This window comes from Homo sapiens, chromosome 3 (assembly GCF_000001405.40).
Source record: "Homo sapiens chromosome 3, GRCh38.p14 Primary Assembly".
Classification (NCBI taxonomy): domain Eukaryota; kingdom Metazoa; phylum Chordata; class Mammalia; order Primates; family Hominidae; genus Homo; species Homo sapiens.
In genome coordinates this window covers 42,630,835-42,643,415 of record NC_000003.12, presented here as the reverse complement: position 1 = coordinate 42,643,415, position 12,581 = coordinate 42,630,835, and the positions used below count along the sequence as shown (strand labels likewise).

General features: G+C 39.4%; 1 protein-coding gene and 1 long non-coding RNA gene across 14 annotated transcripts in view, besides 4 other annotated features; one reads left to right on the top strand and one right to left on the bottom strand.

Annotated features, from left to right (window-relative positions):
- Positions 1 to 12,581, bottom strand: part of NKTR (natural killer cell triggering receptor) — a 48,124-nt gene that overhangs the window by 5,320 nt on the left and 30,223 nt on the right. For 8 of the 13 annotated variants that reach the window (XM_024453539.2, NM_001349125.2, NM_001349124.2 and 5 more), the window contains 8 exons: positions 12,100 to 12,245; positions 10,593 to 10,815; positions 9,681 to 9,836; positions 8,716 to 8,803; positions 8,050 to 8,195; positions 3,666 to 6,548; positions 820 to 915; positions 21 to 77 (listed from right to left, as the gene is read on the bottom strand). In XM_024453539.2, coding sequence (XP_024309307.1) covers positions 21 to 77; positions 820 to 915; positions 3,666 to 6,548; positions 8,050 to 8,195; positions 8,716 to 8,803; positions 9,681 to 9,836; positions 10,593 to 10,815; positions 12,100 to 12,245 — 3,795 coding nt within the window. Of the gene's footprint in view, positions 1 to 20; positions 78 to 819; positions 916 to 3,665; positions 6,549 to 8,049; positions 8,196 to 8,715; positions 8,804 to 9,679; positions 9,856 to 10,592; positions 10,816 to 12,099; positions 12,246 to 12,581 lie in introns of those variants that run through there. The other 5 variants (XM_006713171.3, XM_017006474.3, NM_001349126.2 and 2 more) reach the window with 4 other exon arrangements.
- The window catches only part of ZBTB47-AS1 (ZBTB47 and NKTR antisense RNA 1), a 42,079-nt gene that overhangs the window by 10,973 nt on the left and 18,525 nt on the right, over positions 1 to 12,581 (top strand). The gene's annotated exons all lie outside the window — the stretch shown is intronic.
- Positions 4,804 to 4,883: an enhancer, noted in NCBI's record as "active region_19748". NCBI's record gives its function as "activates an Ori minimal core promoter by ATAC-STARR-seq in GM12878 lymphoblastoid cells {active_cell/tissue: GM12878}" and the evidence as "EXISTENCE:reporter gene assay evidence [ECO:0000049][PMID:35858748]".
- Positions 5,094 to 5,323: an enhancer, noted in NCBI's record as "active region_19747". NCBI's record gives its function as "activates an Ori minimal core promoter by ATAC-STARR-seq in GM12878 lymphoblastoid cells {active_cell/tissue: GM12878}" and the evidence as "EXISTENCE:reporter gene assay evidence [ECO:0000049][PMID:35858748]".
- Positions 10,667 to 11,515: an enhancer, noted in NCBI's record as "OCT4-NANOG-H3K27ac hESC enhancer chr3:42673393-42674241 (GRCh37/hg19 assembly coordinates)". NCBI's record gives its function as "activates a minimal SCP1, AML or CMV promoter by ChIP-STARR-seq in naive and primed H9 embryonic stem cells {active_cell/tissue: H9 hESC(naive and primed)}" and the evidence as "EXISTENCE:reporter gene assay evidence [ECO:0000049][PMID:30033119]".
- Positions 11,516 to 12,364: an enhancer, noted in NCBI's record as "OCT4-NANOG-H3K27ac hESC enhancer chr3:42672544-42673392 (GRCh37/hg19 assembly coordinates)". NCBI's record gives its function as "activates a minimal SCP1, AML or CMV promoter by ChIP-STARR-seq in naive and primed H9 embryonic stem cells {active_cell/tissue: H9 hESC(naive and primed)}" and the evidence as "EXISTENCE:reporter gene assay evidence [ECO:0000049][PMID:30033119]".

Sequence of the window (12,581 nt, the reverse complement as noted above, 5' to 3'; positions counted from 1 at the left end):
TTCCCAATCCCTGTTCATACCTGGATCGACTGTGGGGATCATATGAGCTGCTCCTGGATCTGCTCCTGCTGGACGTCCTAATATTAATCACATGAAGGACCATCATCTTATAGATCAGGGCAGGACAGGCTATACCAAATATCTAGACATTTATTTGCCCATCAAGGTGAAAATACAGTGAAATCCCACAGCTACATTTGTTTTGTTTTCATATCAAAAGTATATTGGATTTTTTAAAAAGCCTATTGGATTTCATAAGATCAAGTTTTATGCAGTTCTTCTCTGAGATGCATATAGTCACTAGGGAGGCTCTAAACTGGGTGGAGTTAGGGGAAAGGTCTGTACAGGTAGGACCTTTGTAAGTAAAGTGAAGTGACAGCAGTAGAAAATACCTCAGATGCAAAAGAGGGAAAGAAGCTAGGAGAACTAGAAATCTGGGGCCACCCTTCCCACCATATATATACTTCTTCCTCTTGGTCCCCTCTCTACAATCTTCCTATCCCAATCTCTAACCCATGTCAAGAGGTGAATGCAGATGTAAAACTTAGGTTAAGGAAGATGCATGTGGGGGAGGTGGAGGTAGGGGTCAAGGCTTCTTAAATATTTCTACTGCTCCTCTTGCCTCACTCTGATAAGATCCCAACAGAGGAATAGTCAAGAATTCCACAGCTCTTACATAGAAAAAACTACATGAGAAAATAGGCCAGTAGTATATTCAGTAATGACATGATTCTTCTCAACAACTACCCCCTCTGCCTATGTAGCCTTAAAAAGTGGACATGATGGAGACCACATCACAGGGTGAGATCACAAGCTCACCTGTGACTTTTGTAACTCCGGTAGGAACTGCTCCGGCTTCTGGTTCGGCCTCTGCTGTACCATCCTCTGCTCCGACTTCTAGAGTAGCTTCTTGATCTACAATTAAAGCAATTGAAAAAATATATAATTATGTTGACTCATCATGATATTAAAATTAATTACTGGTAGGGCAGAAAGGGGAAAACACAACAAGAAGAAAGGCCTCTCACAAACTCCTCACAGTGGATATGACAGTGTCAGCTAATGAGGAACTCTCAAAACAACCATGGTTAAAATCAAACAGAAGAAAATAAAGAAAAACAAGAAAAGATTGGCACAAGTATGTTCATAGAAGCCTGATTTATAACACCAATAACACTGAGAAGAAAATAAACCAAATCTCCACTAATGGTAGAATGGGTTAAAAAAACATTAAGGTAGAGATATATAACGAAATATTCTGAAGAAAATGAACTACAGCTACATGTTTCAGCAAGGATATATCTCTAGAACACAATGTTGAATGAAGAAGGCAAATGTAGAACATCTATATATATAAAAGTATTTTACTTAATAAAAAGTGCAAACATAACATTGTATAAAGATAGAAACACTTGGGGTAAAGCTATAAAGAAAGACAACAAAATTATAACCAAAGTTTAGAATAATGGTTAACTTTGGGACATAGGCATGCACCTAGGGGTGGCACTGGTACATCAAAGCTCTATTTTTTTTTTTTTTTTGAGGAGTCTTGCTCTGTCGCCCAGGCTGGAGTGCAGTGGCGCGATCTTGGCTCACTGCAACCTCTGCTTCCCAGGTTCAAGCAATTCTCCTGCCTCAGCCTCCTGAGTAGCTGGGATTACAGACACGCACTACCACGCCCGGCTAATTTTTGTATTTTTAGTAGAGACAGGGTTTCACCATGTTGGTTAGGCTGGTGTTGAACTCCTGACCTTGTGATCTGCCCACCTCGGCCTCCCAAAGTACTGGGATTACAGGTGTGAGCCACCACACCCGGCCCAAAGATCTATTTTTTAAGCTAGATGGCAGGTACATGAGTATGTATTATATAGCTTTTTATACTTTTATCATTTTTTATGTCTAATACTTAATAAAACAAGCAAAAATGTAAGCAGTACAATTCTGCCCCTCTGCATTCACTTGGCTCCCCACCCTTCTCCCCTACTTTAGGCCTGTCATTCAGGAACAGAACAATACCTCTGTGTACAGGTGACATTATGTAATATCACCATAGGTTTTATTCAGTATGCACTATGTTTTGGAAGACATGACCTGCTTCCAGTATATCTGCAAGAAAATGAATACGTTATGTTCTAATAAGATTGTAGTCATTTATTCAACCAAAAATAATAAAGCCAGACCCTGTGAGGTGACTGAACGATGAGTAACACACAGTTCCTGACTTCAAGGAGTTCACAGCCTAATGGGGGTGTCAGGCCCAGGCAGGTAACCAAAACAGGGAGGCAGGGCAGCACCCAGGCTTATCCATCTCAGTCTACTACCTGTTAGCTGCATAGCCTAGAACAAGTCCCTTAGCCTTTCTACGCCTTGCTGTCTTCATTACAAACTGAAATACCACCCACTCCAAGGCAGAGGTGGGAAGGTAAATGAGAAGAGTGGCCAGCATCACGAATAGCTCAGAGCTGTCTCTGTGTAAATGGTTAAGGCAGATCATAAGCAGACAGGAAGCTGGAGTCGCTCAATAGGCAACTGCATCTATCAACAGGAACTCAGAGAGAAAAGGCCATGAGGAAGAAGAGAAGCCTAGAACACAGGGACGAAATGGCCTGAGTGGGAGAAAGGAGAGCTAGCAGAGGGCTCCAGAAGTGAGGCTGAAAATACGCCATGGTACTGGCCATCAGAAGTACCTGAAAGTCTTAGTCAGTAAACTAAGAGATGCGGGGAGGGGAAGGCACAGAAGGCAGCAAGCACACAGCCGAGGAGAAAATGGGAGACCGAGTATAGATGGCACGTGGCGGTTCCTTTTTTAGGAAGTCTGGGTAGGCAAGGGAAGAAAGACTGATGAATAACTAGAAAGGAAACAAACGTCAAAGATTCTTATGGTATTTTCAGTTCAAATGATGAATATCAAGCACAATAAAATAAGGGATATGAATAATTAAGAAACAGGTAAAACCATAAAATATTTACAAGAAAAAGAATGCAACACAACTGCTTACTAACTTCCTATTACCATCACAAATATTTTTAGTTTTTAATTCTCATCTCTGTTATCCATTCTATGCTGACAAGTTATGATGCAATTTATAACAATAACAAAAAACCTTTTCATGAAGGTGCAGAGTGACAAAGATGAGAAAAAGGTGTTTTAAATTCTTTTATTGCTTTTCAAACAACAACAAAAATCTAAAGATGATCATTTTTATCCCTATGCCCCATCTAAACTAAGATGCATGTCTTGGGCAGGTAACTTTGTCTCTCTGGCCCTCAACTTCCACATGTGTAAAATGGAAGGTTAGATTAATGATCTGCAAATTCTATATATTCTGTCAATTCAGGATTCCCTTCTAAGGCATCACTTGACTGGCAAGAAGCAGCCTCACACCTTTAAAGATGGAGAATTTACCACCTATCATGGGAACTCATTTCTAGTGACAGAGAGCTTTAAACTGATAGTAATAGTTTTGTAAACCCAGCCCAAATTTCTCCTCCTGAAATTCCCTCTCCCTAAGTTTTCAATCTACTCTCTGAATCACACAAAACAAGACTTCTTATTCCTTTCAGATATTTGGAAATAGTGATTCTGTCCCTAATTCTGATATTCTTCCAAGCTAAACAATAACAGACTCTCCTTGGGAGAAGAAAGGAAAGAGAATATTGCTCACCGATAAGATGATGTGGAACTTCTCGATCGACTTCTTGAGTGACTATAGGAGACAGACCTTGTTCTGTGTCTTGATTTGGTTTCAGATTTACTTCGAGATCTACTTGGACTCCTGGACTGGCTATCATCATCCCGACTAGGCGTCTGCTCATCACTTGAACTCTCCTGATTTCTTGGTCTACGGTTTAAGCGTGCTGTCTTTCTTACTTCATCAAAGAGAGACCCAGGCCGAACTTTATTTTTGCTTTTAATTTCTATTCTCAAGCCTTGTGGTTTCATTTCAGGCACAGTGGTCAACACCTTAACTTCCACAGCACTGGATGTGGCAGCATTAGGTGCTGCCAGGTTCCCCACACCTTGCAGGGGCTTCCATTTCTTATCAATGAGGTTGATCTGGCTCTTCTCAGCCACCTCCTTCTTCCCGGTACTTTCTCCAGCACTAGCCAAGCTAGCAGAGCTGCTGTCCTGTTTCCCCACTTCACCCAACACTTTACTTTCGGACATGCTGCTTTCCTGTTTTACTACCTCTGCTTGAGGATGTTCCGTTGCCATATCCTGCTTCAAAACAATGTTTATATCTGGGGTATCAAGCCGTGCATTTCCTAGAGGGGAAGTCTCCTCTACTTTTGCTGGGGAACTCCTATCAGGAGTGCAGATCTCCATGTTGTCATCTGTTTGAAGCACATCTTCCACTCCATTGGGAACACTTTCTTCAACGTGCTGAATGTTTTGTAAACAGGCCACATTTTCCTCAGTATTTAAAGCTGTGGGAGAAATACTGAGTTTACTATCATCTTTAGTAAACTGATCAAGATCTGATGAAACAGTCACTGTATCATGTTTACCTGAAAGGTCCTCTTCACTGGATTTCTCAGTTTTTAGAATATTATCTTTTATGGTTTCATTGTTTTCAGAAACTTTTTTCTCTTTTGATTCCTGAGTAACTTGCTTGTCATCAATCTCCTCCTCCTCCTCTTCACCAAATTCTAGTGGAGGCTGCCAGTGAAATGCTTGCTTTCGTTTTGGAGCCTTATGCTTTTTGTCTTTTTTCCCTTTCAATTTCTCTTTCACTTTTTTGGTGTGTTCTCTTTTAAGATTTTCCTTTGACCCATGTTTGTGCTTTTGTGGCTTTCCCCTATTGTTTTCCGAATTGGAACAGGACCCCTCAGAGTCAGAAGTTGATGTGCGCTGTTTGCTTGATTTCCAAGCACCATTATCATCAGGCAGTGAAGTATTTGTGGACGACTTGGTTGTGGGTTTGACTTTGATGTGAATTTCACTAACCTCTGATTCAGAATCGGATGTGGCCTCACCTTCTTCCTTGTCAGAGGATGGATGGGAGTCATTTTTACTGTTTTTAGTGACATCTCGTTCTGAATTTGACTCAGAGTCCCATTTACTACCAGCATAATTCTTCCTTTTGGGCTTACTGCCATTTCTAAGGTGATCAGAAAGATTCTCTTTCAAAGTTCTTTTTTTTGAATGAGGGCATTCCCGTTCAGACTTGGATTTTTCTTCACCTCTGTTTTTTTCTTGTTTATTATGTGTTCTTTCCATTTGGCCCTGCTTCTCTTTTTCCTGGGCTGACTGTGTGGCCTGAACACTTGACTGCTCACTGTCTGAAGAATAATCTAAAGATGATCTGCTCTCGCTATACTTTCTCACACATGAAGACCTGTCTCTACCTTTGACATATTTACTGTGAAGTGTCTTTTCAGAGCTGCTGCTATGCTTTTTATGTGAAACGCTATTTTTTTTCCCACTGGATCTAAGTCTCCTCTTAGCTCGCCTTCCATCATCACTGCTAATAGAAGTATATGAAGATGATCTACTACACTGTGAATGATCACTGTATTTATTTCGTGAATGAGATCTAGATGATGGAGACCTAGACCTTGAATGTGAACTAGCTAGACTACGTGATCTTGTATATGATCTGGAATAAGATCTACTCCTAGAAGATCTGCTCCTTGACCTTGGTGAGCTTTCTGAACTTCTATCACTGTATTTTGAATAAGTGCTCTGATCACTTTCCGAATTTTTTTCTCTTTTATGGTAGGATGATGAGCTACCAGTCTCTTTAATATTTGCTAAACTGTAAGTGCTTTGGATGGGTAGCAAATGGGTTGTTTTAGCTTTCATTTCCTGAATTCGCTCATAAGAGGGCTTCCAAGGTTTCTGTCCAGGCTTCCATCTTGAAGGGGGGGGACTGTCACTCAGTGGTATTACAGGAATATTTTCTGCTACAACTGGTTGTACTACTACATTTTCATTTTGTGCCATGGTTGCTCTTAAAGGTTCTGTTTTAACTGGTTTATTTTCACTTAACTGAGAAGCTGTTTTTCTTGGTGATTTTGATGCTCTCTTTCGGTGCCCAGACTTGGAACTAGATCTGGACTTTGATCTACTTCGAGAATGTGATGAGGACTTTGACGCAGTCCTTGATCTTGAGCTTCCTCTAGAATAAGACTGTGAGTGAGATTTTGATCTGTATGAGTCTCTGCTGGAATGGGTTAAAGAGCTCTGGACATCCTTATCAGATTTAGACCAGTCTCTCTTTGATGAGTGATGAGATGACAATGAGGAAGAACGAGAACTCCTTTCTCTATCACAAGAGGATTTCATTCTTCGAGTGGAAGATTTTGAGGATTCTATGTCAGACGGTATAAGAATCCTTCTCTTCTTTGTTTGTTTGTGTCTTCTGCAGTGTTTCTGCTTTTTCCCTTTCTTTTTATGCTTAACCTTTTTTTCTTTTCTGCGTTTTTTATGGTGGCCAGAGTGTCTTGCTGTACTAAGGTCTGAATAATATCCATTATAGGACCATGATCTGGATCTCTGAGACAAGCTTCTTTCATCCCATCGGCTTGAACAGGGGTCACTTAACCTATAGAAAGGACATAATATTCATGCGGTGATTTATAAGCATGTTTTCTACACCTTAAGACACAGCTTTGTTAACAACAAAGTTCTTGACCCCATTAACACTTTAAGCACACGCAGGAAGCGTGAATCAGAGTTATAGGCCTGGTCTTGTTATACTTTCAGAGACACACACTAAGAACTACTAACAAATTCACTTACAAAAGGATTTTTTTTTTAAGCTAAGCAAAGAACCTTACATTTGTTAGGAAAATGTTTTTGAAAAGCAAACCAACTAATCACAAGAACACTGCTGAACTCAAATCACAAGAGTTCCTGGCTGTTATCTGCTCACAACCCTCTGCCTCTAGGACAGTTTTTGAGGGTGAGTCAAACCAAGGTCTCAAACAATTTGTTGATTTTCTGAAGATGCAGGATAGCTGCTTGAAACTAGCATGAAGCTTGTTTTTTCTCCACCTCAGACAGGTAATCCAGATTTCCCCTAAGACTGTAAACTACTTAAAACAGAAATTGAGGAAAAAGTACACAAAAACAGATACAGGTTACAATCTGAGTGTTAATGTCAAGGCTCAGAACTGAAAGTCCTCAGCACCACTGTGTCTGAGCCGCTTCTACACAGCAGATGCATTCCTTTTCCTCCTTTTCACAATTCCAAACCACTCTGCAGGATGTCCCCAGAGAAAAAGAGAATACTACCATGGAAGATTACACAGGGTCCCATTAGTATATTTTTCACTAGCTATTCTGGGGCCTATCCCCTTCCTAAAATAAATATTCAACTGTGGGACATCACTGAAGGTAAGAGATGTGTACACTTCTAAAAAAGCAAGTCTCTGCGATCAACAGTCAACATGAACACCGAGTGCAGGTTTTCCTATTTACCAATGAACTCATCAGTGACCTGGCTGGCTAGGAAAGAATCTGCTATATAATTTCTAAGTCCTAATTATTTTTTTTTTTTTTTGAGACGGAGTCTCGCTCTGTCACCCAGGCTGGAGTGCAGTGGCACGATCTCAGCTCACTGCAAGCTCCACCTCCCGGGTTCACACCATTCTCCTGCCTCAGCCTCTCTAAGTAGCTGGGACTACAGGCACCCGCCACCACGCCCGGCTAATTTTTTGTATTTTTAGTAGAGATGGGGTTTCACTGTGGTCCCAATCTCCTGACCTCGTGATCCGCCTGCCTCGGCCTCCCAAAGTGCTGGGATGACAAGCGTGAGCCACCACGCCCGGCCTCTAAGTCCTAATTATTTCTAAAATTGACTAAGAGGTCATTAAAAGACACAGGCTTATAGTTTTTGTTAAGGAAAACAGGATTTTGATTTAAAAGCCCAACTAGTTAACAGTACTACTTTCATCAAGTAGTCCCAAATGTATTTCCTTTGGTCACAGTCTGACTGTGAATCTTTCACTGAATCTTTAATGAAAAGTCCAGAATTGTATCCAATCCCTTTAACATTTAAAATATAACAGACACAGGATTGTGCTTATACTCAAAGTTCTTACTTATCTCCTTTACTCCATTTTTCTCCACTAGGTGGTCTATATGCTCTTAATCTCTGCATTTCCTCTTTCCAGTGAGGAGGAGTTTCACTGCTGTCATCATCATCTGACTCAGAACAGGATCTTGATCTTGGAGGTGTGTGATAGCGCTTTAAAAACAAAAACAATAGTATTTTAAAAAATGCCTCTCCACGACAGTCTGCTATGTGACAGAGTTAAGTAAAAGACCCAATCTCAGATCATCCCATCAAAGGTAATGATTGAAGTTACCAAAAGGATGGTCTAAAGTTCTTTTTTTTTTTTTTTTTTTTTAGTTTTTAACTTTTATTTTAGGTTCAGGTGAAGTTATTTCAAACAAGGCATTAAAAGAGATGGGCAAGGCTGAGATTCACCTGTAATCCACATAAAATTTTCCTTTTTAAAGTCTTAATGATTTCTCAGCATACTCACTGATGGTTTCACATGTTCCTCCTTTCATACTCAATTAAACCCATTCAAACACAGCAGTATACTTTGATCTAACAGCAATACCTTCCCATAACCATGGAAAATACAATTAGTTCCTTGAACAGATTTTGTATTATATCTAAAATTAACGCTAGGACTTTGAAAATAGGTAAAAATTTTTTATTAGATACATAATATCAAAAAAAGTCTTATCACACATACAATTGTGCCCCTTCCTTTAATCTTCCGTCCAGACTTTGATACAGATGGTTTCTGATCACTTACAATGGGTGCAACATCAGGAATCTTCCTAGGAAAAGAAGATTGTGATGAAAATTAAAAATAAGCAAAGAAGCTAGAATTTTTAATAATGAAAACACATTATGTTAAGCTATTAATTCAAAGATACATGCCATTTTGCAATAGCTTTTTAAAACAAGACAATATCAGGCTTTAAAAAATATTTAATGAACTAAATGATAACTTTATGCAGAGAGCTAATTATAAATAAGGACTCTTATACTTTTCAGCTTTCAAAATAACTCTTCATAGGGAACTTATCAATGACACCAGCCATTATGATATTTCTGTTCATGAAACATTTTCTTTCAATAATTCTAAACTTGAGTCTAACACACAAAATACATTAAATACTATTTTCTCAGACCAAATCTAAAGCGACACATTCACTTTTCCAATGCAGGAAGTAATTGTTGAACAAGTTAACAAAAGTAACTTATTTATGATACTAAATTGTATCTCCAATCATCATGCAATTAATTATGCACTATTCAAATTGGAACCCATGCTTCATCACTCAAATGGATCCAAAGAATTCAACTAACTCTCTATTCTGATAACTAAAACCTCACCCCTCTAATAAAAGGCAAAGGCAAGAAGATCAGGAATAAAATCTTTCCAGATCCCCAATAAGGGCTTCCCTGACCAACTTGCCCAACCTCCTCTCCCTGCTAGAATGTGAATTCTGAAAGGTAGGGTACATATCACTCAATAATCTGGTATCCCCCATATTTCCTACGTATCATTCATTAATCTAATACTCCCATACTATCTTTCAATGTGCTTCAAACATGGATCATGTTCCATACATGAGTGTGGAATGCAATGAGCTGACGGAACAGTGTTATCGGAGAAATAAAAATAAATAGTTTAGTCATCCTACTTACGGTTCAGGTTCTGCAGTAACAACAGGCATATCTCTTCTCAGTAAAAATCGGTTCTCAGGCACTGGAGGAATCTCTTCTGGGCGGACCACAGGTTTTTCCCTTTTAGCACTGGAATCAACTGACCTTTTTTCATTGGTATCACTCCTCTCAGAGTGACTTAGAACAAACCAAGTCACTGATTAAAATGTATAATGTTTGCATTTCATAATAAAAGCACATAAAATTAGTTACTAAAACAACAGCATAATTAACGATAGCTTACAAGTCTCACTCAAAAGAGTTATATGATTTTCACAAAGAGAACAATATCAACCCAGTGAAAAACCCAAAGACTAGAATTTTGATAGGAAAATTGTTAAATGATCCTAACTTTTTTATTTTAAGAGTTCCAGGAGGCCAGGCATTGTGGCTCACACCTGTAATCCCAGTACTTTAGGGGTCTTAGGTGGGAGGATTGCTTGAGGACAGGAGTCAGAGACCAGCCTGGTCAACATAGCGGAAGACCCTGTCTCTACAAAAAATTTAAAAATTAGCCAAGCATAGTGGTATACGCCCGTAGTCCTAGCTACTCAGGAGGCTGATGCAGAAAGATCTCTTGAGCCCAGGAGGTGGAGGATGCAGTGAGCTATAATTGTGCCACTGTATTCCAGCCTGGATAACAGAGCAAGACCCTATCTCTTAAAAAAAGAGTTCTTAGGACTATTTTCACCCGAAAACTGAAAACACACAAATCTTTGAAATGAAATGCCTATGCTACCTACTCCTAGATTTGCCAGATTTCAATTTAAAGTTTAAAAAGTGCTATCCTTTTTCAATAACAGGTAATAAAATTGAGTTTATAGAATTATACATACTTTTCCCATTCCAGAGTGTTTGTTTTTAGGTAAGAGTACATTGGTGTTTTACACGTACCCTTTTGGGTTCATTGCATGTTTATTCCTTGGCTCTTCTGAACTGCTTGCTTCCTTTCGCCTCTTTTTAGAACGTTTAACTTTTGGCCTCCTCTTATGTTTCCTCCTTCTGCTTCTCTCATGTTCAAGTTCACTTTCTGAAGATGATTCTGAAGAAGAGGAGGAATTGGAAGAGGAATCCGAGCCTTCTGAATGAGTTGGTTTCTTCCTTTTTTTCTCAAAAACTTTTAAGAAACATTAATAAAAACATTAGTACTAAATTCAGTGCCTACCTTTCAGAGTAAAAAATGTGATTACTGAATATCATAAAATATGCTTTACATACAGCAAACAAAAAATGAAATGTAGACAGTTTTTTTCAAGTTTATAATAAAATTACTGGCAAGATTGTAAGGTAGTAAGTCCCTTGTCTTTATGAAGCCTATATTCTTGTTGGGTCAAGTAACAAGAAATAGGCCCGGTGCAGTGACTCATATCTGTAATCCTAACACTGTGGGAGGCCAAGGTGAGCAAATCACTTGAGGTCAGGAGTACAAGACCAGCCTGGCCAACATGGTGAAACCATGTCTCTACTAAAAATAACAAAAATTAGCCAGGCATGGTGGTGCATCCCTATAATCCCAGCTACTCCAGAGGCTGAGGCAGGAGAATCACCTGAACCCAGGAGGCAGAGGTTGCAGTGAGCCGAGATAGTGCCACTGCACTCCAGCCTGGGTGACAGAGCAAGACTCTTGTCTCAAAAAAAAAAAAAAAAAAAAAAAAAGAATTGCATAATATGACAAATGATTAAGTGCTAAGACAGAAAAACAAAGCAGTGTAAAGGGAATAGGAAGACTAGGGGTAGTTTAACATAACATTTGAACAGAGACTTAAGAGCAAGGGACAGTGTCATGCAGATATCTTAACAAAGGGTGTTCCAGACAAAGAGAATAGGCAGCACAAAATCCCTGAGTGGTTGGCATGTCTGAAAAAAGGTCAATGTGCCTGGAAGGCAATGAATAAGGGAAAAGAGTTTAGAGAGACAGCAGAGAGCCAGACCAGCCAGGGCCTTAGAGACCACCATAAAGACTTCTGCTTTGGATGATTGAAGATGGGAGTCCTTGGAGGGTTCTGTGCAGGCGTGACATGAATGCAAACTATGGTTCAAAGGGATCACTCTGGTTGCTGTTAAGGACAGACCACAGCGGGCCTAGGATATAAGCAATGAGACCAGTTAGGAGGCTATTGCTGCTGACAAAAGATTATAGAACGGAGGCAAGGTAAACAGTTACGACGCTACGGCAATAATCCAGACACAAAATACTGGTGGTGTGGATAAGGCTGGTGGCAAGGAAATAAGAAAAAGTAAGATCTGACAAGATATGCTAAAAGATTAAACATGTAGGGTATGATTCAGGGGCACCAAGGGCTATTGCTATACCACTAGTTCCACTAATCAAATCTAGTTACAGTCTTCAGCAATGCTTTACCTGCATCTTAGCTTCATCTACTGTCAAAAAAGTTCTTACCATCTTTTATTGATTTTGTGGCAAGTACTCCACAGTCAATAACTCGCACATCTGCATATGGTCTGCTTGCAGCATCGGTCTTCAGATTTTCAATTTGTTCGATTACTTCAAAACCAGAAATAACCAGTCCAAAGACTACATGCACCCTGTCATAATACAAATTCAAGAAACAACTGGTTTGATAATTAAGCTATAAACAGTAATCAAGACAATTAACTGTAATCAATGACATGTCCACAGACCTGAAAATAAAACCAAACTGTTTGTTGTATGAAGCAACTAGAATGGAATGAGAACTTGAAATCTGCTTCATAAAAGGAAACGATTATGCAAACTGGGCCTCAGTTTTCTGCCTTTAAAACAATGGTTCTTAACCATTTTAGGGTAAAGAGTCTGGTAACATTCAGATTTCGCTTGGTACTTGGGAACCTTCCTTACAGGGACACATGATATTGTACTGCTTACTATCCGACCCATTTTGG